General features: G+C 42.8%; 1 protein-coding gene across 5 annotated transcripts in view, besides 8 other annotated features; it reads right to left on the reverse strand.

Annotated features, from left to right (window-relative positions):
• The window catches only part of CD48 (CD48 molecule), a 33077-nt gene extending 28527 nt beyond the window's left edge, over positions 1 to 4550 (reverse strand). For 4 of the 5 annotated variants that reach the window (XM_017002867.3, XM_005245625.1, NM_001778.4 and 1 more), the window contains exon 1: positions 4410 to 4550. In XM_017002867.3, the coding sequence (XP_016858356.1) occupies positions 4410 to 4491 (82 nt within the window). In that variant the 5' untranslated portion in view covers positions 4492 to 4550. Of the gene's footprint in view, positions 1 to 3151; positions 3217 to 4409 lie in introns of those variants that run through there. The other variant, XM_047435011.1, reaches the window with a different exon arrangement.
• Positions 1453 to 1522: an enhancer, noted in NCBI's record as "active region_1945". NCBI's record gives its function as "activates an Ori minimal core promoter by ATAC-STARR-seq in GM12878 lymphoblastoid cells {active_cell/tissue: GM12878}" and the evidence as "EXISTENCE:reporter gene assay evidence [ECO:0000049][PMID:35858748]".
• Positions 4799 to 4978: an enhancer, noted in NCBI's record as "active region_1946". NCBI's record gives its function as "activates an Ori minimal core promoter by ATAC-STARR-seq in GM12878 lymphoblastoid cells {active_cell/tissue: GM12878}" and the evidence as "EXISTENCE:reporter gene assay evidence [ECO:0000049][PMID:35858748]".
• Positions 5519 to 5578: an enhancer, noted in NCBI's record as "active region_1947". NCBI's record gives its function as "activates an Ori minimal core promoter by ATAC-STARR-seq in GM12878 lymphoblastoid cells {active_cell/tissue: GM12878}" and the evidence as "EXISTENCE:reporter gene assay evidence [ECO:0000049][PMID:35858748]".
• Positions 18754 to 19496: an enhancer, noted in NCBI's record as "NANOG-H3K27ac hESC enhancer chr1:160695816-160696558 (GRCh37/hg19 assembly coordinates)". NCBI's record gives its function as "activates a minimal SCP1, AML or CMV promoter by ChIP-STARR-seq in naive H9 embryonic stem cells {active_cell/tissue: H9 hESC(naive)}" and the evidence as "EXISTENCE:reporter gene assay evidence [ECO:0000049][PMID:30033119]".
• Positions 18972 to 19121: an enhancer, noted in NCBI's record as "active region_1948". NCBI's record gives its function as "activates an Ori minimal core promoter by ATAC-STARR-seq in GM12878 lymphoblastoid cells {active_cell/tissue: GM12878}" and the evidence as "EXISTENCE:reporter gene assay evidence [ECO:0000049][PMID:35858748]".
• Positions 19497 to 20240: an enhancer, noted in NCBI's record as "NANOG-H3K27ac hESC enhancer chr1:160696559-160697302 (GRCh37/hg19 assembly coordinates)". NCBI's record gives its function as "activates a minimal SCP1, AML or CMV promoter by ChIP-STARR-seq in naive H9 embryonic stem cells {active_cell/tissue: H9 hESC(naive)}" and the evidence as "EXISTENCE:reporter gene assay evidence [ECO:0000049][PMID:30033119]".
• Positions 19832 to 19931: an enhancer, noted in NCBI's record as "active region_1949". NCBI's record gives its function as "activates an Ori minimal core promoter by ATAC-STARR-seq in GM12878 lymphoblastoid cells {active_cell/tissue: GM12878}" and the evidence as "EXISTENCE:reporter gene assay evidence [ECO:0000049][PMID:35858748]".
• Positions 19972 to 20021: an enhancer, noted in NCBI's record as "active region_1950". NCBI's record gives its function as "activates an Ori minimal core promoter by ATAC-STARR-seq in GM12878 lymphoblastoid cells {active_cell/tissue: GM12878}" and the evidence as "EXISTENCE:reporter gene assay evidence [ECO:0000049][PMID:35858748]".

The raw sequence follows: 24334 nt of genomic DNA on the forward strand, positions 1-24334 counted from the left end.
ATGGGAAAAAGAATGGTAGGGCGGTATGTAAAGGGTCATGAAAAAGTAGAGAGTATTTTGTTTTTGTTATTCAAGTAGGGAAAGACCTAAGCTATGGTAGGCCAAGGAAAGGATTCAGTGGAGGGAAGACATGAAGAGAAGGGAGGTGATTGACGAGCCTGGGCTAGTGGGACTCAGAGCAGAGTTAGTGGCACAGGTCTTGACTGGGAGGAGGGACACTTCATCCTCTGAGGGAAAAGAGAAGGAGGAAAGACAGCTGGTGGTGGAGAAAAGTTACCAGTTTGAAGATAGTGGGCAGGAAGTTGAAGGGCTTCCTGCCTAATGGTCTCTAGTTTCGATTTCTTCTGCAAAGAAGGAGGCACATGCTTTGCTGAGAGGGCAGAGGACTGAGGTAAGGGGCCTTGAGGATAGGGTGAAAGTTTGAAATAGCCACTGTGGGAAATGGGAGAAAGAATTTATCAGGGCCAGTAAGAGCTACTCTGAGACCCCAGCTTGACTGAAACAATGACTCAAAATTTATTCCTTCCTTCTTTCCTTTGCTCCCTCCCTCCATCCACCCATCCCTCCATGCATACATGCGTACATGAACTTCCTCATGTATTCACTCATCGAATAACTATGCAGTAAGCAGTTACTATGTGCTTGGCTCTGTAAGGGTGCAATAGATAGATGTGGCTCCTTCCCTTGAGCTTCATTCCAGTGAATCAACAAAATTAATCAGATGATTTCGCTATTGGTGATAAGTGTTAGGAAAAGGAAAATACGGAATGCTTAGAGGGCATATAAAAGGGAGCACCTCACTTGAATTTGGGGGTTGAGAATGGCTTCTGTACGAGGAATTAGCCTAAGTGGGATGAAACCAGGGAAAGATGACGACTGGGGGTAGTGAATATTCCAACAAGAGGGAAAAAGAATCAAACGCCCAGAAACACAAAAATGAAATTCATTTGCGGAGTAGGAAGTAGCTCACTGGCTAGGACATAGACTAAGGAGGGTAGCAAGTGAGCTCATTATGAAATGTGAACTTTAGGCTCACAGCTTCTGCTTTCTCATTTCCCACAGTGGCCACTAAAGATTTTAAGCAGAAGAGTGATGCAAACAGAGAACCATTTTAGAAAATGTATACCGACAGCAGGGTAGAGAACAGGTTAGCTAGAGAGAATGCAGTAAATAGAGCAGTTAGGATAGTGGATCATTGTGGAAATTGGTGATAAGAGAAAATGGTGGCTTGATCTGAGATAGGTAGCATGGGGCTGGATGGAATTGGACATATTTGAGAGATATTTTTGAAAGTAGAATTAACAGGACTTACTCATTGGGCATGAGAAGCAAGGGAGAGAAAAGAAGCAAGGATGACTCCTAGAATTCTGGCCTGAGCAACTAGACAAGTGGAGATGTCATTTATAGAGGTGGGGAACAGTGGAGGAGCAGTAGGTTTGGGGGAAGAAGGATTGTAGTATTTTTTTTTAAGTCTGTAAATTTTTTGATGGTCCTCTCATCAAATGATGGACTTTGTGCCCCTTCACCTTGAAATTGAGTAGGCTCGGTGATGGCTTCAATGAATGGAATACACCGGAAGTGTGACCTGCAAAGCTAGCTTAGAAAAGACCATGCAGCATTTGCCTATTTCTCTTGGGACACCAACTCTGGGAGGCTTCTGCTGAGTGGCACTAGCCACCCAGCACTTTGAGCCTCCCTCTGTTCAGGCAGTAGCCCTGTGAGTGAAGAGCCTTGCATGACTCTAGGCCACACCATGATCTGATTGCAAGCACATGAAAAGCACATGAAAGTGAGACAGGATGAACAGTCTTCCCCCAAATCTGTGGGCAAAGTAAATCATTGTTATTATTTTAAGCCACGGTATTGTGGCAGCTTGTTAAATAGCAATACATAGCGGAAACAGAGATGATGACTTAAGTTTTAGACACGTGTCTGGAGAGTCTAGAGAAGATGTTTAAGAGACAGAAGTTCTGATCTTGGGCTCAGGAGACTGCTTGGGGCTTAAGAATTTACTGATGCTCTTCCCAGGTTTTCATCTGTATCGGATTCCGCATGTGTCACAATTGCAAAGCAATTGCACATTTTTTATTTTATTTGATCTTAATAGCAACCCCTTGAAGAAATGAGGAACAGATTATTATACCCATTATGGAGCTGAGGAAGCTGAGGCTCAGGAAGCTTTAATGACTTGTTGAAAATTCCACAGCATGGAACCCAGATAGAACTAGGTCATCTCATTTCTAGTACAATACTCTGTCTACTTCATCCTGCTAAGTGTTGTGGACAGATGGGGAATTGGGTAGTTGTGGAGCATGCCCTAAATCATTGCCTTGAAACCAAAGAACTGAGAAACCCAAGTCTGAGGAGAGAAGGAAGAAGAGAGCTAAGAGTGCTTCTCAAAGTTTTCCACAGAAGCATCCCTTACGGCAGAGGAGAGAACTACTTGCACTTCTCAGGAAGATATGGATGTGTAGTCCAAAAGGAAGTTTTTTGAAGTTGTTCATTCATTTGTGTAACAATTATTTATTGAGCACATGCCACACTCCAGGCCTGTGCTAAGTTCAGCAGCACAACACTGCACATGGTTTCTGTCCTCAAAAAGTTCAAGGAAACAGATGATCCACCAAGCAATTCACAAACCATAATCTGGAGCCTGAGGTTCCCATCTAACCATGCCTTCAGAACACAGTCACAGGCAGACAGTCCAAGAAGAAGTCACATAAAAACAGAAGCCTAAAAGAGAGGCAGGGAGAGGGCAGGAGGGAGAGAAATCTAGGTGGAAAGAAGGCATGTACATAAGCCCAGAGGTAAGAGAAAACGCCTCTTTTAAGGCAAACAGTAAAATTAAGAGATTTAGACACATTGACCTTCACCAAGATTCCCTCGCCTTAGTCTAGGAAAGGTATAATCATAATAGAATGGTTTGGAAGTTAGACCTGTGTGCCCTTAGGAGAATTTCTTAATCTCTCTGCAAGACAGTATTCTCATCTGAAAAATGTAGATAATAATAGCCACCTCACTATTTTCTAATGAAAGTTAAATGAAAAAGTATGCAAAAGGCCTAGCACAATGTCTGACACACAGTAAGTGCTTAATTTGTATTTTACTAACCCAGGTTATAGCCCGGGTGTTATAACCCAGGTTTACTAACCTCATCAAAACCAATATTATCCATTCAAAGGATAACATAATCAGGTGTGGTCTGATTGTTTCAAAGAAGAATAAATGACCAAGATGAAGCCTAGAAAAGAAGTCAGAGAAAGGTCAACTGTCAGGATGTTTTCAGTATGCCTAGAGAAAGTCCTAAAATATTCCAATTCTCATTGGCAACCCTGCTTTTCCCAATAGTTAGATGAATACTTCACATCAGCCCCCAATCCCAAGGTCATACCAATGTCCTATGCATTGAGTCAGGCCCACAGAACCTATATAGCCGTAGACTCACACAGTCATGAACCAAAGGACTCTACCTGAGAGGTAGAATATGTGAGAGACCGATCCTCCACACATTCTACCTCATCTCCCCAAAAGTTACAAACTATCATCATTTTATGCCACAGTGTGACTACCACATGTTTGTTGATTTTTACTGTTTTACTCAGAGTGGTGAGCATTAAAGCCCTTTAAATTAAAAAGACTTGAGTATTTACTTGGGGGAATAGCAAGAAAGTCAAAGGTTTCACTGCTGTTTCTCAGCTGGCATAAGAAGAGAGGTACTGGATGAAGAAAGAGGGTGAGGCAGCTCTAACAGGAGAAGGAAAGTTAGCTCAGCCCTTGGTCACACACCGGGGACCGAACAGGCTGTGGCAGAGGAATGGACCTTAACTCTTAGCAATCAGATGTGTTAAGGTTCCTTTGATGCTGAAGCACTTCCAGCCTCTTCTCAGACCCTCATTCAGAGACCCCAGACAGCAATCCTTTCCAAGCTTTTCTTCCTATAATTTTGATCTATCTTTTCTTTGGGTCAATGACAATATCATTTACCTTGGCTCAGGATGCAACACCTCACATATACAGAGGTCTCAAAGAATGCCTAAGGGAGTACAGTGTGTCTGAGCATAAAATGCAGCAGCTGTCAGTGTAGAGCTTCTTCTTATTCAAAATGAAAAAACAAACACTTTTCCACAACTTCATGGACCACCAACCACGGGACAAAATATGAGGAGCCTACTTCTCTTGCTCCCCAGGTTCCTGTTTTGATCACATCCCCGTGGGAAAGGAGATGAAGCTCCATTCATCAGTGCTAAGAAAGGCTCCCCAACCATGCCATGGCCATGCTATTGGAATGGAAATACCTGCTTTCCAGACACCAGATCTGGCTTCTAGGGTTGAACTACATCCCGTCTCCCCTTTCCCAACTGACCATGCCTTCAGTGCACAATCACAGATACACAGTTGGTGGAAAGTACCTTGAATGCTGGTCACCAGGAGTGACAGAGGCAGCAGTAGCAATTCCAGAGCCAGACACGAATCCCAACCTCTGGAGCACATGCTTCCTTCCAGAACTTCCCAGCAACGCAGGAGACAGTTGAGAGCCTGGCTAGAAAAAGGCCGGGGCTAAAAACGGAACTTACCAAACAGGGTTAGAGAGAAAAAAAAAAAAACCACTGAGATTTTCTCTCCACCCAGCACACTTGTGTGGGGCCCCAGAAACCAGAAACCGGAGGTCTTGTAAATTTTTTTATCTAAGAGCATCACGGAAACTGAGAACAATTTTGTTTGAAGGTACATGAGTGCTTTTTTGTAGGGGGAAGATTCATAGCTTCTACTGTACTCTCAGGGGGGCCAGTACTCAGAAAAGAATAAGGGACCCTGATAGAGAATGTCTGCTTTTCGTTCCCAGGCAGGAATCCCTCTGATTAATTCAGGGGCTAAGACATAGGAGCTTCCCAGTCAAGCCTGGGTAGGTGTCATTCAGAGCCTGAAGTCTGGGAAATCAGACCCACGTAGCCTTTGTGCTGCATATCTTACCCCCAGCACCACCCTCTGCTCTTCTTCCTTTATGATAATTCACTATTTGAAGTTTGACATCAGCCTATCCACTGAACATCAGAAAAAAAGTAAGATTACTTGGCCCAAAAGAATGGATTTCCCACCCTTGTAGTCTGTATTAGTCTGTTCTCACACTGCTAATAAAGACATACCCCAGACTGGGTAATTTATAAAGGAAAGAGAGGGGTTTTGTTTTGTTTTGTTTGTTTTGGTTTTTTTTTTTTTTGAGATGCAGTCTCACTCTGTAGCCCAGACTGGAGTGCAGCAGTGCAATCTCAGCTCACTGCAACCTCCACCTGACAGGTTCAAGCAACTCTCCTGCCTCAGCCTCCTACATAGCTGGGATTACAGGCAAGCACCACCATGCCCAGCTAATTTTTGTATTTTTAGTAGGGTTTCACCATGTTGGCCCGGCTGGTCTTGAACTCCTGACCTCAAGTGATCCACCTGCCTCAGCCTCCCAAAGTGCTGGGATTATAGGCATGGGCCTGTGCCTGGCCAGGAAAGTGGTTAAATTGACTTCTAGTTCAGCATGGCTTGGGAAGCCTCAGGAAACCTACAATCATGGTGCAAGGGGAAGCCAATACGTCCTTCTTCACACGGTGGCAGGAAAGAGAAGCACTGAGCAGCAATGGGGAAAGCCCCTTCCTTATGAAACCATCAGATCTAGTGAGAACTCACTATCACGAGAACAGCATGATGGTAACTGCTCGTATGATTAACTTACTTCCTACTGGGTTGCTCCCATGATATGTGGGGATTATGGGAACTACAATTCAAGATGAGATTTGGAAGGGAACACAGCCAAATCATATCATGTCTAGGAAATTTCAAGCTCATTCCTATTGAATGTAAATTAGTTATTTGCCCACCCAGGACCCACAGGCAAGCCACAGTTCCTGATATAACATATTTGTAATCACTTTTTAATTGGGGACATTTCTGATTCTCAACATGGAGATGAACAATAAAATGTCTGCTCTTCTCAGTCCTCAAACCTGAAGGACATTATGTTAAGTGAAATAAGTCATGCACAGAAAGATAAAAAACCACGTTCCCAATCATATATGGAAGCTTAAAAAATGAGCTCATAGAAGTAGAGAGTAAAATTGTGGTTATCAGAGGCTGGGAAGGGTAGAGGGAAGTGGAGGATGGGAAGAAGTTGGTTAATAGATACAAAGTTACAGCTAGAGAAGAGGAATAAGTTCCAGCATCCTGTAGCACTATGGAGTGAATACAGTTAAGAATAATTTAATGTATATGTTCAAAAAGCTAGAAGAGAGGATTTGGAATGTTCCCAACACAAAGAAATGATCAATGTTTGAGGTGATAGGTATCCTAATTGCTTTGATTTGATCATCACACATTGAATACATGTATCAAAATATTACTCTGTATCCCATAAATATGTATAATTATTATATGTCAACTAAAAATAAAAGGGAAAAAAACATAAAAGTGAAAAGAAAGAACCCTGCAAATAAAATTTGAAACAGCACCAGAATCAAATTCCTCTTGGTCAAATTGTTACACTTTGGAACTGTGTGTTATATTTTTCCTATAAATTGATTTAACCTTAGGATACGACCCTGCTCCTTCAGCAAGAAAAGATAACATTGTATTAGATTTTTAAAAGAGACCCTGTAAATTAATGTTACATTCTCTTTTTTGGGGGGAGGGGGGCACAGGCTCCCACTCTGTCACCCAGTCTGGAGTACAGTGACCACTATGCATGGCTATTTTTTTAAAATTTTTTGTAGAGATGAGGTCTCACCATGTTGCCCAGGCCAGTCTTGAACTCCTGAGCCATAGGATCCACACTCAGTCAGTGGCAGGACGGGGAGTGCTGTGACCTGCTTCCACCTTGGGCACCAGTGTCTAAATGAAGGGAACACAGTGGCACTAAGAAACTCGGAGATGCCAGCAACTGCGGAGCCCTAAGGGGTGTTACAGCTTTGCTTGGGGAATCCCAAGGCCTGAGACCCCAAGAAATGTTACAGCTCTCTCTCTCGTTCCTGCCACCTGCAGCTCAGCAAATGAGGGCACCTCACAGCTCTTGTTCAGTCCCACTGCCTGCAGCTCAGCAAATGGGGGCATGTCACAGCTCTTATTTAGTCTTGCTGCCTGCAGTTCAGTGAATGGGGGTGTGTCACAGCTCTCACTTGGTCCCAGTGCCCACAGCTCAGCAAATACGGGTATGTTACAGCTTGTTCCTGCCACCTGCAGCTCAGCAAATGAGGGCACCTCACAGCTCTTGTTCAGTCCCACTGCCTGCAGCTCAGCAAATGGGGGCATGTCACAGCTCTTATTTAGTCTTGCTGCCTGCAGTTCAGTGAATGGGGGTGTGTCACAGCTCTCACTTGGTCCCAGTGCCCACAGCTCAGCAAATACGGGTATGTTACAGCTTGTTCCTGCCACCTGCAGCTCAGCAGGTCCTGGGTTCTTGTCCTGCAACCAAGAGGAATAAAGCATGCAGACAAAGGAGAGTGAGTAGGTCAGAGAATAATTTTATTGAGTGACAGAAGGAAAGCTCTCAGCAAAGAGGGGACCAGACAGTGGGTAGACCACTGTGTGAGAGGGGCCCCAAAACAGGTAGCCCTCTGTGAGGCTGAGTCTGGGGTTTTCATCGGCTCAGATTTGTCCATAGGCAGGCCTGGAAAAAGCACCATTCGATTAGCTAAAAGGTATCAAGGAAGTTCTCACTCTGGTTGTGGACTCTACCCAGAACTGGCAGCCCAGTTTTCAGGCTTTAAACTGTCTTTGTCTTGAAAGTCTAGTTTCACCAGGGACCCTTTTCTATCTGTCCAGGAATTTGTCTGTCTCCTGTCGCTATCACTTTGGGAGGCCGAGGAGGGCAGATTGCCTGAGCTCAGGAGTTTGAGAGCAGCCTGGGCAACATGGCAAAACCCCATCTCTACTAAAAGTAAAAATAAAAATAAATGTTAAAATACCTCCTTTGAATGTTGTTGTGAAAAGTTGAAGAAAGGAAAGAACTTTTATCTGAAGAATGTGAGTCCTTCAAATTATCAGAGAGACATTTAAATGAGACAGAAATCACATTTTACTTCCCCCTACTCCACCTTTGGGCTATGTATTCACCTCTTAAAACTACTTGCTATTGCTGCAAGTAACCATAAATTAATCTAATAATGCTGCACTGGACATATAACCCACACCTTACAGCTTAACAATATGTAACCAATCACTAATTAATGTTATTTCTGCAAACCAATGAGAATTCCAAAAAAAAAACTTTGTATCACTTTTTTTGCCTTTAAAAACCTGCTTGTAACAAAGGCTGAGCAGAGCTCAAAACCAATTTTACTTGGGTCTGAGTCTTCCAGGCAGCTGTCCTCCCTTTGGCTCAAGTAAAGTCTTCAAATCATATTTTGTGTTTCAGCCTCTTTCTTTTAGATTGACAAGTAAACAGCTCTATAATTCTCAACAGTCTGCTTAGATGTGAATTAATAGCCATGGGATATAGGCTGATGTTAAAACAAAGGATGAAATATAAACTTAAGCCAAGGAATCTTCCTCCTTTTGCATGGTAACAGCGGGCACTGAAGTACTATGGGTGCCCATTCTGAGGTTCAGGACTAGCTAGTTAGGCTTCTGCATAGATTCAAAAACAAGTCTGAGAGAAGTGACCAATAAAGGCTCAAAAGCCCTCTCCCTGCCCTAAGTGAATCAGCTGTTCTTGCACCAAAGCCCTGGTTGCAGAAATCCCTGAAGTTTGGGCATACCCAGAGGTGGGGCTGCAAAGACCCTAGAAGATGAAGTACAGGTCAACAATCCTCATGATGTGAATTAAAATACACACTCTTCTCAGTATCTAATCTGGTGGGCACTTGACCTACTGCTTGACTTTGACAAAGTGATAGTAATGACAGAAGCTATTATTTTCTGTGTATCTACTAAGTCAAGTACTTGCCAGGACCTTTGCCTATATTATCTCATTTAATCCTCCAACATTTTACAGAAGGATCAGGTTTCAAAAACAAAAACAACAACAAAACAACAAAATAATAATCCTCCAACATTCACATGAGGATATTTATAAACACTATTCTTATTTTACGGAAGAGATAACTGAGGTTCAGACAAGTCAAATGGCTTGCCCAAGGGCATTTTGCTAATTAGAACCAGAATCAAAATTCAAATCTACGTCTGTCTGATGCTCCAGCTGGCATGCCTAACTACTATGCACACAGACTCTGGGGTTATCAAGGTTCTGGGCATCAGGGGATCTGCAATATGCCTACAAGAAATGGAGAACACATAGGAAACACTATGAGAGTCATGCCAATGTGAAATTAGGAACTCAGAGAATATAGGGCCTTGAGTAGCCCAAAAATGTTCAAGGAGGGGTATGGTATTGAGCTGAGGATGGAAGACAGACCCCTGGTAGGTTAAGCAGGGCCTTGAATGCCACAACAGGCACAGCTTTGCTAGTGCCTGGAGAGTGAGAGAAAGTGAAGTCATTCCAATAAATTTTCCCCAGAAACAATGAGAGCAAAGATAGGAACAGGGTCGATCTCCCAGAAGATAGAATTGATGAGAACAGGTGGCTAATGTTACAGTAGGTAGTCAGGCAGACGTGAGCAGGGCAGGAGAGAGCCTCCCACACCACCAGCAATGACAGGCGACCATCAGGTGATGGTCAGACAATTGTTAATGTGCCTCTCTAAAATAATAATTGGTCGCAGCCAGCACCAGGGCATGGTGGCTCATGCCTACAATCCCAACACTTCGGGAGGCCAAGGCAGATGGATTGCTTAAGAACAGGAGTTTCAGACTAGCCTGACCAACATGGTGAAACCCCGTCTCTGCTAAAAATACAAAAACTAGCCAGACGTGATGGTGAGCACTTGTAATCCCAGCTATTCAAGAGGCTGAAGCATCAGAATCACTTGAACCCAGGAGGCAGAGGTTGCAGTGAGCCAAGATCATGCCACTGCACTCCAGCCTGGGCAACAGAGAGAGACTCTGTCTCAAAGAAAAAAGAAAGAAGAGAAGAAGAACGCCTCAGGTGAGCATGCATACAACTCCAGTGAACACACTGAATGTGTGGCCCCTCCCAAGTACTAGCAGGCCACTGCGCATGCAGACAGCCCACCCCAAGGAAAGAATCAGGGAGAAGGGACACTAACGTACTTTGGTTCCATGACTCAGATTTGTTCTCTGGTTGTTAGAGATCTCTACACCTCGCCTTCTTTGGCTGGAGTCATTCAACCCACATATGTGGTTTTCTTCTCCCTTTTGCTCTCCTGCTTACTAACCAACCCCTAAAACAATTCCTCTCTGCCGTCCTGGACAGGAGGCTTGCAAGAGTGATAGGGCTAAAGCCTGAGACTGTGCAATTTCTGGGGTTTCCTCTGCTTTTTCAACTAAAATTGGCTCTTTCCCCAAAACCTGCGATGCCTATTCTCCTGCTTTCTCTGGATGTATTCTGAAATGGCCTTGCGCACCCACTGAACCGTCCACCTCGGGGGCAATTTGCCTTTTCTCTGTTTTCATTTTTCATGCCATGTAACTTCTTAGGCACACACTCCCAGTTGCTCTTGTGCCCGTGGCTCTTGCTGTGGCCCATGGCTCTTGCTGTGTTTGTGTAGCAGCAAAGACATGGGCTCCCTTCTGGATATCCCTTGAGATTTACATTTGTTCTTACCCTACCAGCTCAGATGACCTCCAACCCTTTCCCTGTCTGCTAGCACATTGCCAGGACAGATACTAATGGGAACCTCAGCTCTGCCAATTCCTTATGACTTATCATATGCTTTTTATCCCCATTATGTCCCAGGGCCAAATTTTCTGGTGCCTTCTGAAGCAGTTTGTCCACCTGCGTAGGACCTCATTCTGTGGTCCTTTAAGAACCCTGCCTATGTGATTTTTTTGAGTTAGCACCCCTTTGGGAGGAGGGAAAATTCTTCCTTTGCCATTTGTGAGTTTTTACTCCAAGCCTCAAGTCCTCCAGAGGTTACTACTTTATGTTAAGAGGGCAAATAAAGGTTGTCCTCTCAAATCCAAAGGCTGCTGTTTTTGTGGGAACATGAAGCCTTTCCGTGAGTATCTCCCTCACTTCCTCCCTCTTCCTCGGTAGCCTCCATTTCTCTAATCACTTCCACACCCTTCACAACATTCATCAAAGCTTTCAAGTTCCTATTCAAACAAAGGGAAGTCCAGCTACTTGCTGACTAGCTGAAAAACAGGCTTCTGGGAGGCTGAGGCAGGAGAATTGCTTGAACCCGGGAGGTGGAGGTTGCAGTGAGCCGAGATCATGCCAGGCACTCCAGCCTGGATGACAGAGCAAGACTGTGTCTCAAACAAACAAACAAACAACAAAACAAAACAAAACAAAAAAAGTCTTCTTATCTACTTAAAAAATGTGGGAAATGGGAATCTGAGAAAAGAGAGAATCATTTTGTTGCTAGAATGCTCCAAGCAAGAGTCACTATAAGGTCATGGAGACAAGGATATAGGCTGGCCCAAGGCCACAGGGGTAAGAGAGTCATAGGACAGAGATGAAGGTTGGTCCCAGGCTAACAGATTACCATTAGAACAGAGATAAAGGCAAGGTTAGGGGCACATGGTAAGACCAGTTTATTCTGGAGCCCCAAGAATGAACAGGAGGCCCCCTCTTCACTCCAGTATCTCCTCTGTTCTCAAGTGGGTAATTGTGATGAGACGGGACCAAGGTTAAGGGTACATGGGAAGACTGGTTCATTCCAGAACCCTAAGGATGACTAGGGGAACACCTTATTCTGGATAAAAGGAAGTAAGAGGGGACATCTTCTTTTTCTTTTTCCTTTTATTCTGTTCTGTTCTCTTTTCACAGACAGATAATCACGTCTCCATACCACAGGATATGACCTTTGGATGCATCCCCCAAAACTGAGAAAAGTTTGATTTCCTCAACCCTTAAAACAAAAAACTAGTTTTCCTTTGTAATACTGTCTGGCCTAAAAATAAACAGAGAAAATTACAAAAGTCACCCTTAGATCCCAGTCCCCTTATGCAGGAAATCTTCAAATTAGCCTCCTAAGTCTTTTATAACTGAGAGCAGAATAAGGAGGACAGAACCAAAGAAAAGAAGAAATGCAGGGACAAGAGGCAGGCTCAACTACTGGCTGCTTTACAAGCTCTCCAGCCCCCTCCAGGTAACTGCCATTTGTGCAAGAAGACAGGCCGCTGGAAGGTAAACTGCCCCAATGGGATAAATCGGAAAAATACCTGCACAGCTTGTCCCCTCTACCACAAGCTCAGCCACTGGAAAAAGGATTGTCTTTAAGGCTAAAGGGCCCCTGGGACAGAATCCCAACCCCTGACGACCTTGAGCTCTCTCTACTCTGCCTGGCTTCTAAATTAGACACTACCATCAATAGGGCAAAATCAAGGGAAACTCTGGAGGTGTCAAGTACAATTATAATTCCCTTTCGCATTCAACAACTGCCTACTCTGTGCTAATCTTTTTCTCTGAGCAACTCTCCTCCAAATTCTGTCAGGTAAAGGGGACAAATGGCACCCCGTCCCTCCAAAAGAAAAGATTCACACTCCTTTATATTACTTAAGGGGCTAACTGCCATTCTCCCACCAGTCCCTGGTAATGTCTAAATACCCCACACCTCTTTGGGGCAAAAATATGCTTTTCAAGATGGGTGCCTATTAAATATTTACCCAACCTCTGAATTCATCTTTCTCTCTATCCCTATTTCTCTTGGGGAAGCTACCTAAATCTTTAACCAATAACTTCAATCTAGACAGTTCTAACTCAGGGGCTTAGAAATAGCCCACACTTATTCAGATAAACCCTAGAAAAATCTAAATGAACAATCTTTTGAGGGGGGATATCTTCTACAGTATGCAGATAACTTTCTAATTTGCTTCCCCTTCACAGGACTTACTCAGCAACATGCAGTACAAACCTTAACTTCCTAACAGAAGGAAAATGACTTTTGTCTAATTCAAAGGTTATAAAGGTAAAGGGGTATTTTGGGTAAGGAACGTTAAAAGAAAATATATTTTGTATGACAAGGGTCTTGTATGGTAAATTCTTGTCTTAAAGTAAAATAACTGGTTGTCTAAAAAGAAGGACATTTAGGACAAGTCCAAAAGTCAAAGCATAGATGGTCTGTGTAAGTTGTGGAAGGGAATGTATGAAAGAAATGTTCTACAGTTTTAAAGTTTATGAGGCCTACTAAGCATTTCATACACTGCTACTATGACTCTTAACAGTGCAACTGGCCTGCTTTAAAGCTAGTTAAGGCTTGGGGACATATAGAGTTAGCCATGCCCCCTAACCATGTGGGAACGAGTCAGACCTTATCTGCATTCCTCTCTGGTGTTCCAGGCTTGAGACTACTGGAAAAACAATTTTACATGCAAGACATTTAAGGAAAGTAGAATGTGCTTTTGGTAAAAGATCATAAGAAGACATGGGAATATGGATTTTTTTTGCCTAGTTTAGAAGGTTAAAGGACAGTTTTAAGTTAGCTAAGATAAAGCTGAAGCTTTAAGCAAGTGGTAGAAGGCTTATGAAAGATTAATCTTGTAAAAGAATTTCTGTGTGTGAGCATATTAGCTAAAATTAAATTTCATCACTAGAAAAAGTTTTTTCCTTATGCCCCACAGAAGGGAGTGAAGTGGGGGGAGGAGCCACTTCCTGTTGTTCTGGTTCCTGTTTTCTTTTCTCTTTAAAATTCCTGAATTCCCTTCAGGTGGAGAAAATGGGCAGTCTGACTTACTGTGATCTGGCACATAAAGGGGGTATAACGCAGAGCATACTAGACTCGATGTGGTCAAAATGGTAACATTAGTAAAATGGCCCTGCTCAAATCCTCTTTTCAGATTAAAAATTAAAGGGATATTATTTAGATTTTCTGTAAATTGAACTTTGGAATAAAAGCACAACAGAGTTCTATTAAAGCATTAAACTGCTCTTTATAAATGTGTTATTGGTACATATTCCAAAATTATGTGAAACTCCTATAATTCTGATATAACAGTGTATATTATTAGTAATAATTATAATCATTAAATTATTGGGTGCCACAGAGGTAACAAATTTCTTGGTCAATTGTGTCTTTGACTGTGGCTGCCCTAAGACTTCTTATTATTTATATAGACAATTGTTGTCTTGTTTTTATCCCCTTAGAAGGTGGTTTTATAATCATCTATAGAACTCTGACAGGTGCTCTTGAATGCAGATTCTTAATAACTTTGGAGACTGTGACAGTAGAATAAAGGAAAAACTTTTAGGACTCTCATGGATACCTGAAATGCTTATGAGTATCAGGCAGAACAGAAGTTAACTGCATGGACTGAAGTAATACAACACTGAAATAATCCATCTATTTATAGCTCTTAACAATTGAGTAAAGTACACTCCTATAAACAAAGTTTAGAGCATATTTCTCTCTACTGGATTTCTCCAGGATTTGGAAACTACTTGTGAGTATTCTTAACTTATGGCAATATAGTTATTTGCATAAGTACAGTAAGAATCTGTTTTCTTTTGCAACAAAACACAATTGGAGAAACTGGATATTTTACCAAGGCTTTGACTGGAATGGTGTGCTTTCCTTTAAAGAATCAAATTTGACTTATAAAGCCAATAAAAGCTCTTTGGGAAAATTGGCCTCATACCTTATCTACACAGTCCCTGTACAGGGTTCCAGTCCTGTAGTAAGTAAAGAATGTCACTTTCTGACAGGCCCAGGAGACCCAAGTTATCTTGGGACCTCAAAAGGAGAGAAATTTACTCAATTAATATAGATATTTGATGGCACAAACCCATAATTGGGCTCCAGGCTTTAAAAACATCTTATCTGAAATTCCTTATGAAACAAAGTTCTATCAAAGACAATTTTAATAGGAACCTATATGGCAAATAATTACTCTTGCTGTGCTTTATGCAAGTAACAAGCCAAGTATAATAATACTAAAGCTTATTTTACAAACAAATCTGCCCTATTGTAATTTGTTTTTAATAAAGATCAGGACTAGAGAGAGAAAAATTATGTTTCAAAAATGATGGTACACCTGTTATTAGATTCTAGTCTCATCAGTTGTTTTTAAGTTAACTCTGCTTATCCCTTTGAACCAACCAGTAATCTCTGGCTGCAGGTCAGAAGAAACAAGAAGGTTGAGTCATGTAATAACCTGGATTCATATTTTAAATCTGGGTTTTGTGTTGTATGTGCCAAAGTTGCAATGCATATGCAAATTGAGCACTAAAACGCAAGGTCCATTATCAGTTTTTATAGTTTGTGGAAGGTCTAAAGTCATAATGGATTCAAAAAGATGAGCAATCGCATCTTTAGTTTTTTTTTCAGGTCTGGGGGATACCATGTATTAAGCCCATATAACTGTTTACAGTAACGTGGAGAAATTTGAAGCATCTAAAGGGTGGATATTGAGTAACATTAGTTTGCCAAATAGCATTAGGTACTAGACCTTGTAGGTTGGCACCAAGTCCTAAGGAAAAAGCGGATAGAGAATGTCATTCGCAATCAGGGTAGGTTTTAATGATCATGCGAGCTTGAGCGAGCATCAAATGAAACTGTTGTTTAAGACTGTGGGCATTCTGGTGAAAAAAGGAATGATTAGCTTGAGCTCGCAAAAAGGCAGCAGAGTCTGCAAACCACATTTGTGGTTGTACCAGAGCATCGGCTCAAGCGTTTCCTTCTGACAAGGGACGAGGTAGCCTACAATGAGAGGGATTGTGTGTGATGTAAAGAGGGTGACAACAGGCATAGAAGAACTCTTGTGCTTCGAGAAATAAAGCTAGTAGGGGTTCATTAGTAATGCTCTTCACATATGCAAGATCTAAATGAGTAATATGATCCACTGCATAAGCGGAATCACTAACTATATTTATGTCTTGATGAGGAAAAGTTTGTAAGGCCAATATTAGGGCACTTTATTCCGCCCGTTGTGTGGTTTTGAAATGTTCTTGGATTTTGTGCTACCAGTTTTGCATGGCATCTTGCCACACTATAGGTGCCTTTCTAGTTTTTCCTGAGCCATCTGTAAAGACAATAGTGGCATGAAGCAAGGGCTTAGAGACAACAATAGATACAAATTTAACAGGCACATTTGTAAAACCTTCAGGAGCTTAGAGGCTGATAAATGGAAGCTGATGTCACCAATACAGTCGGCCATTGCTACTTGCTAATCAAGATCACAAGCTAGGAGAGTATGAAACTATTACTTGCTTAAAGGTAGGAAAAGAGTAGCAGGGTCATATTCTGACAATTGGATGCAACGTCAGCATTCCTTTACAAGAAGAGAAGCTATTAAATCTGTGGTCTTTTGTATGTGTTTAGAGGGGTTATGAGACAGGTAAGGGCAATGGCTTTTTTACTGGGGAGAAAAAAGCTCCAGTCCATCCTCATCACTAGAAAAAGTTTTTTCTTTATGCCCCACAGAAGGGAGTGAAGTGGGGGGAGGAGCTCCTCCCTGTTGTTCTTGTTCCTGTTTTTCTTTTCTCTTTAAAATTTCTGAATTCCCTTCAGGTGGAGAAAATGGGCGGTCTGACTTACCACGATCTGACATATAAAGGGGGTATAACGCAGATCATACTCCAGGTGGTCAAAATGGTAACATTAGTAAAATGGCCCTGCTCAAATCCCCTTTTCAGGCAACCACCCACCTGCTCCCATGACTTTAAGTCTAATATTCCTTGATTAGGGAACCAAGGGCATTCCTGCCGAACTAAAAGCGTAAGCGTATGCAAAGCTTCAGACTCTCTGGTGCACTGGATAGCCTTAAGCAATTGTCTCACCATTTTAAAAAATACTTTCTGCTATTTGGTCAACTTCTCACCCGTGGTAACCCGAGCCCTGGTATTATACACATAGGTCCTGTCCTCCTGAAAACGGGTCAGGACTGGCCAGGCGCAGTGGCTCATGTCTGTAATCCCGGCGCTTTGGGAGGCTGAGGCGGGCAGATCACCTGAGATCAGGAGTCCGAGACCAGCCTGACCAATATGGAGAAACCCCGTCTCTACTAAAAATACAAAAAAAATTAGCCAGGCGTGGTGGCGCATGCCTGTTATCCCAGCTACTCAGGGGGCTGAGGCAGGAAAAGTTGCTTGAACCTGGGAGGCAGAGGTTGCGGTGAGCCGAGATCACGCCATTGCATTCCAGCCTGGGCAACAAAAGTGAAACTCCATCTCAAAAAAAAAAAAAAAAAAAGAAAAGAAAAAAGAAAAGAAAAGAAAATGGGTCAGGACTGTCCCTTATCGGTATTCCCTGAAGATTGGTATGTCATCCTGCTCCACGAGTAATTTCAAGGCGATCACATCGGAGTCACCACTTGCAGCTTGCTCTGCAGTGAACGCCGAGAAATAAGTATTGAGACAATTACAGCTGAACGGGGCAGGGAGGAGCTCCTCGAGGGAGTGCTGCTCCAAGATCTGTCCACCAAGTGTCTGTTGAGAGGCTTGTTAAACTACAATTCAGACCAACAAAAGACATCCACCAGGTGGCTTTTTGCAGTCGTGACATGAGGCACATATGGCCTTGTTTATTACATCTAAAAGCACTCAAACCGCCTTCTTAGGAGGCTGTGTTCAGCGCCCCTTATCACACATTCTGCTCCTTGTCCTGTTTTCAGGGTCAAGGAGTTATAGTCTCATGCACAAACAACACACACACAGTGCCTCAGTTATTTTTTCAACCTCAAATGCCTTGTACATAAGCTTGAATATGTTGTTGTGTGCCCCCTACACTGGGCACTTGTTGGAATTGGCTAGCAACCCCAGGCATGCAAGTCTTAGCAGGCATGAATGTAACCACCAGCTACCTGGATGTGTCAGCAGCCTCAAGATTTTTTGGAGCTGCCCTCACCTCCTTGTTTCATTTTGACATCTCTACTTGTCCTTTTTGGTCCATGTCTTCTATATCTAATAACCTGATTTGTCTCCTCTCCAGGGCATCAAGCTCCAGATGATCCTCAGTGAGGAATACATCCTCTCAACATTCAAGAGTTATCCTTCTACACTGGACCCTTACACTGCCCATTAGTGGGACATGACAGAGGTTAAATCCTGCCCCTTTCTCTGTTGGACTTGGCTGGAAACTGCTTTCATGAACCCACAGAGTCACCTGCCCTAACAGCTAGCAGGAGGCCAAGATTCACAGAACAACAACCACCGGCCCTCTGTGAGCAGGGAGCAGTTTACAGAAGACTGGTGTTTGTCCATTTTCCCCCAAAATTTGGGGTACTGGACTCTTGACGGGGGGAATGTTACAGTAGGTAGTCAGGCAGACATGAGCAGGGCAGGAGAGGATACCCCCTAGGAATGTCAGGTAACCATCAGGTGATGGTCAGACAGTTGTTAAGCTGTCTCTCTAAAATAATAGTCACAGCCAGCATGAGGGAAAGGCAGTCTCCCAACAGATAAAGCAAAACCCAAAGCTGGTGATCAGCAGTTTCCCATTAAGATCTCAGGAGTTGGGCGAGTGGGCTCACACATGCGTACTAAAAGGCAAAATGGCAGCATTTAACTGGTATATCACTTTCCTCTAGGAACACTCAAATGGTAAGGGAAGAACACCTCAAGTGAGCATGCATACAACTCCAGTGAACACACTGTGCTCGCAGCCCCTCCGAAGGGCTAGCAGGCCACTGCGTGTGCAGACAGCCCACCCCAAGGGAAGAATCAGGGGAGAAGGGATGCAAGACCCCAGAAGCATGCTAACATATAAAACACCAAGTCAAAGGTCAAACAGTGCACTTGGTCTCTCAAGCCACCCGCTTCCAAATGTATTTTGATTTTAATTCCAGCTCCAAAGCTTTTTAATAAGCTTTCACTCCTACTCTAAAGCTTGCCTTGCTCTCTCCCTCTGCCTTATGCCCCATGGTTGAATTTTTTCTTCTGAAGAGACAGTAATTGAGGTTGCTGCAAACCCATACGAATTCACCACCTCTAAAACTAAGATGCAAAAATGACACCTGCCACCTCTGAGCTCCAGGTTCCAGAGGGTAAAAGAAAATGGAGGTTGAAGAGCCCAGTCAGAGGACTATAGTCCTCCGGTCGTGAGTGTTCAGAAGGTCTACTGCCCAGTGTTTTTGCTGAGTCATTTGAGGTTTTAGTCAGCATAGAATAATAAAACCTATTTTCAACCCCACTAGGACTAGGGCCACTACTATTCCTGGCTGGCTTATCACTGGTTCCAATGTAACCAAGTGCCCCCATTATTCTAAGAGATAATTTAATTGTTGTTATGTGTTTTTTTTTCCTTTTCTTTTTTCTTTTTCCCTTTCCCTCTACTCCCTACTTAGCCCTTTCTGAAATGCAAAATAACCTCTCACCAGACACTCCCTACAGGGCAAGTTCACCTATGTGCTCCAAGACAGATCTGTTGATTTGCAGATCAAAGCATGTCCTTATGGAACTCCTCCCTTCGGGCGGTTGCCTCAGAAAGGCATGTGGAAAGCATGCCTATTTGGTCACTTTTACAACTTACTTCTGCCCGGGAAGGCACCAACTCAACTGTTCAGTATTTAACTGCCCAGTAGCAGGGAGACCCCCCTGCCCTTGCTCACTTCTTCCTTTACCTTATAAAAGTGTTCACTTTTTGCTCCAAAGGCAAAGTGGCACATTTAAAGGAGGATACTTCCTGCCCTCCTCCCAGACTTGTTTTGGAAATACATTCACTTTTCTTGTGCCAGGCCTCGTTCTTGTTAACTGTGGCGAGCGACTAACCTGCTTTTCAGTTATACCAGGAGGGGGCAGTACAACACTGCCTGAGTAGGCTCCAGCTTGGAGGCCATTCCCCAGGGAGACTAAAAGACCCGAGGGACTCAGGACGATTTCCCAGGGTAAATTTAACATTTAAGAGACAATAGAAAAAAGGGATCCTGAAGAGGAAAATAAGGAGGATCAGTCAGATAGCAAGGAGAAGGTGGTCTCAAAATTTGAGAGCAAAAATTTCAAGACTATATCCAGATTAACAAAAAGTGCTTCCATTTCATTTAGCAATTGTGTAGTCAGTAGCCACCTTGGCCATGATGAGAGCCATTTTAGTGGAGGCAGAAGCCAAATTCTCCATTTCTCTCCTCCTTTTTTCTCATCCCCACTTCTCTTCCTTTCTCCCTGTTGGATATTTCTTGAGCTGCATCTGGAGATGTAGAAATGAAAGTCATAATATTGCTCTTAAGCAACTCACAGTCTCATGGAGAAAACAGAGAAGCAAAACATTGAGAAGCTGCAAAATGAGAAACTGTGGTGTCACATAGAAAGGGTGCCTAATGCAAACTGTGTATGATCAGAGGAGGTCTTTGTAATGAACATGTGTAAAATCTTTTTTTATACACACAAAAAAATCAAATAACAATAGGGTTTTTTGTTTGTTTGTTTGTTTGTTTGTTTGTTTGTTTGTTTTTTGAGACGGAGTCTCACTCCGTTGCCAGGCTGGAGTGCAGTGGCACAATCGGCTTACTGCAGTCTCCACCTCCTGGGTTCAAGCGATTCTCCTGCCTCGGCCTCCCAAAGTGCTGGGATTACAGGCATGAGCCACTGCGCCCGGCCAAAGGGTTTATTTTTATACCTTTGCTACCCAAAGAACTTGGCCAGTTCAGGAAAATGAGGATATTTCAGTGTGGCTGAAATAAAGACTGGATACAGAAAGCAGGTCCCGTTTCCAGACTGGTCCAGATCACTAATGTTTTAGTGTACATGATGAAGGGTTTAGATTTTATCCTGAAGGCTCGTGAAGGGAGCTAATTAAAGGGTTTTGAGCAGATTAGTGATATACTGTGGTTCACAACTTAAAAAGAATATTCTGGTAAACAGGAGAATGAGACCACAAACAAGGGGGGACATTTTAAGGCTATTGGGGGGATCCAGCCAAGGCCTTCATTATTGCTCAACTTGGCTGAAGCAGAGGTGGTGGTGTGAAGGGCAGGGGTCAGAATGAGCAGAACTTGATACCTGGTTGCATATGGGGGTAAAGGAAGAGGGAAGAGGAAAAGTCTGGTTCCTGGCTTGTGTGGTTGCATCAGTGGATAGGATAAGGGACAAGTTGGGACATGAGAGATGATAAGTTCAGTTTTGAATATATTAAGATTAAGATATCTAAGAGGCAGATGAATATATGTATCTGGGGCTCAGGAGAGAGACCTGTGCTATGTGCCAGCATGCAAATAATTATGGCACACAAATTCTTACTCAGAAAGAATATGTAAAGTGAAAGGAGGTTGGGGATGGAATCCCCTGGTAATACCAACATTTAAGGGATGGCAAAGGATGAGGCATATGCAAATGAGACTGACAAAGATTTACTAGAAAAGAAGAAAGAAAATTAGAGCATTTTGGCCAGGCGCAGTGGCTCACACCTGTAGTCCCAGCAGTTTGGGAGGCCAAGGTGGGCGGATCACGAGGTCAAGAGATCAAGACCATCCTGGCCAACATGGTGAAACCCAGTCTCTACTAAAAATCCAAAAATTAGCTGGGGGTGCTGGTGCGCACCTGTAGTCCCAGCTACTCGGGAGGCTGAGGCAGGAGAATCGCTTGAACCCGGGAGGCCAAGGTTGCAGTGAGCTGAGATCGTGCCACAGCACTACAGCCTGGAGACAGAGCAGGACTCCATCAGATAGATAGGTAGATAGATGATAGATAGATAGATAGATAGATAGATAGATAGATAGATAGATAGATAGATATAGATAGACAGACAGAGAAAGAGAGAAAGAAAGAAAGAAAATTAGAGCATTTTAAAGGAAATTAAAGAATCTGAGGAATTAAGATGTTAATGGTGTTGAGTGCCTGCAGCTTTTACAGGCTCAGGATATAAGTGGCCAGTGGCTCTACCAGTGTCAGGTATTCCTTTATAGCAATGCAAATTGAACTAATACAAAAAAAATAGAACTGAGGAGTTGGGCATTGCTGTAAAGCAATTGCTGAAATGTGAAAGTGGCTTTGGAACCTGGTAATGGGCTGGGGTGGGCAGAGTTTGGAGGGCTCAGAAGAAGACTAGAAGATGAGGGAAAGTTTGGAACTTCTTAGAGACTTGTTAAGTGATTATGACCAAAATGCTGACAGAACTATGAACGGTGAAGGCGAGGCTGATGAGGTAATAAGAATGAACATGGTAAATAGAGTCAGTAGAGAAAGACAATAGGAGTGGTACCATGGAGAGCCAGATAACATAAAGTTCTGTGGAAGAAATTATAAATGGGTCAAATGCATCTGCTTCTGGTGAGAGCCTCAGGAATCTTCCAATCATGGTAGAAGGTGAAGGAGGAACAGGCACGCTACATGCAAGAGAAAGAGCAAGAGAGAGAGGGGAGGAGGTTCCAAGCTCTTTAAACAACTAGTTCTTGTGTGAACTAATTGCTGCAGGGAGGACACCAAACCATTCATGAGGGATCCAACCCCATGACCCAAACACCTTCCATTAGGTCCCATCTCCAACACTAGGGTCACATTTCATTTGGAGGGGACATACATTCAAACCGTATCATCCCTGAACTTGCAAATTAATGTTAGAAGTGAGAGATTTCTTGAGGAATACCCACTAATTTCACATTTGACTAAACTTTGAAGATTCTTTCTGGAGGTTGAGGGAGTACACAAAGAGGTACCATCACCTCCTCCCCTTTTGGATCTTACAGAATTGCAGGCACACTCGATCATCAGAGGTGGGGATTCATAACAAGTAAGTTAAAACTACTTTTCTGTGGTGGTGGCAATGTACTGTAAGAGATTAAATTGCATTCAGTTATTACACTGTTCTCTTGGTTACCCTCCACTGTTTCCATTATTTGAGAAGAACTTTTTATAATTCTGATTATGCTGTTATATTTTCAGGAGGCAAATTCCTTACATGATCCAGTAAACATATCATCTTCCTTTTGTGCTGGTCTAACACCATGCCTTATATCTTAGTTCTTGCAGCAGTTGTATCCACCAGTCAAGGAGGAAAATAATAGTTTATCAGGTCTGTGGCTGGTGTCCATGAGTCTCAAGTATTAAATTATGACGGTTACATGCATTCTCAGGAAGGCTTTAACATCAGTATAAATATTTCACAGAAAATTGGAAGAAGTATTCTATTCAAGATGTCCGAACTTTGGTTAAATAGTGATTAAAATATATTAGTGGCCAGGCACGGTCGCTCACGTCTTTAATCCCAGCGCTTTGGGAGGCCAAGGTGGGTAGATCGCTTGAGCCCAGGAGTTTGAAACCAGCCTGACCAACACAGGGAAACCCTCATCTCTACAAAAAGTACGAAAATTAGCCCAGCATAGTGGCACACACCTGTAGTCCCAGCTATCCACGAGGCTAAGGTGGGAGGATCACTTGAGCCTGGGAGGTCAAGGCTGCCGTGAGCCATGATCATGCCACTGCACTCCAGCCTGGGTGACAGAGCAAGACACTGTCTCAAAAAAAAAAAAAAAAAAAAAATATATATATATATATATGTATGTATATGTATATATGTAAGGTATTCAAATATTCCTGTACTTTTTTTAGCTTAAAATTTAAAGTTCTCTATTTCACGTTTTAATGTCAAACTTAGTTATTTTACAGAGATAGTTGTTGGGTTTTGTTTGTTTGTTTTGAGACAGTCTGGCTCTGTCACCCAGGGCTGGAGTATGGTGGTGCAATCATAGCTCAGGACAGCCTCGAACTCCTGGGCTTAAGTGATCCTTCTGCCCCACCCTTCTGAGTGGCTAAGAATACGAGTGTCCACCACCATCATGAGCTATTTTTTTAAATTTTTCTATAGAAACAGGATCTTGTTACATTGCCCAGGCTGGTCTTAAACTCCTGGCCTCAAGCAATCCTCCCTCCTCAGCCTCTCCAAAGTGCTGGGATTACAGGTATGACGCATCTAGCCTAAAGAATAATTTTAGATGATAATTGAGTGCAAAATCACATTCATAAGAAGGTGGCTGCACACTATTCACAATAGCAAAGACATGGAATCAACCTAAATGCCCATCAATAGGTAAAGAAAATGTGGTACACATACCCCATGGAATACTATGCAGCCATTACACAAGTTTACCTGTGTAAAAAACCTGCACTTGCATCCCTGAACTTAAAAGTTAAAAAATGAAAAGAAGGTGACTGCTATGCTTGCTATATAACATACTCTAATTATGGGCGTTTTGAAAAACAAGTGATTATTGAAATGCTATTTTTTAAAAATTATTATACTCTTAAGTTCTAGGATGCATGTGCAGAACGTGCAGGTTTGTTACATAGGTATACACATGCCATGATGGTTTGCTGCACCCATCAACCCATCACCTACATTTGATATTTCTCCTAATGTTATCCCTCCCCTAGCCCCCTACCCCCCGACAGGCCCCATTGTGTGATGTTCCC

The sequence above is a fragment of the Homo sapiens genome, chromosome 1 (assembly GCF_000001405.40).
Source record: "Homo sapiens chromosome 1, GRCh38.p14 Primary Assembly".
NCBI lineage: Eukaryota > Metazoa > Chordata > Mammalia > Primates > Hominidae > Homo > Homo sapiens.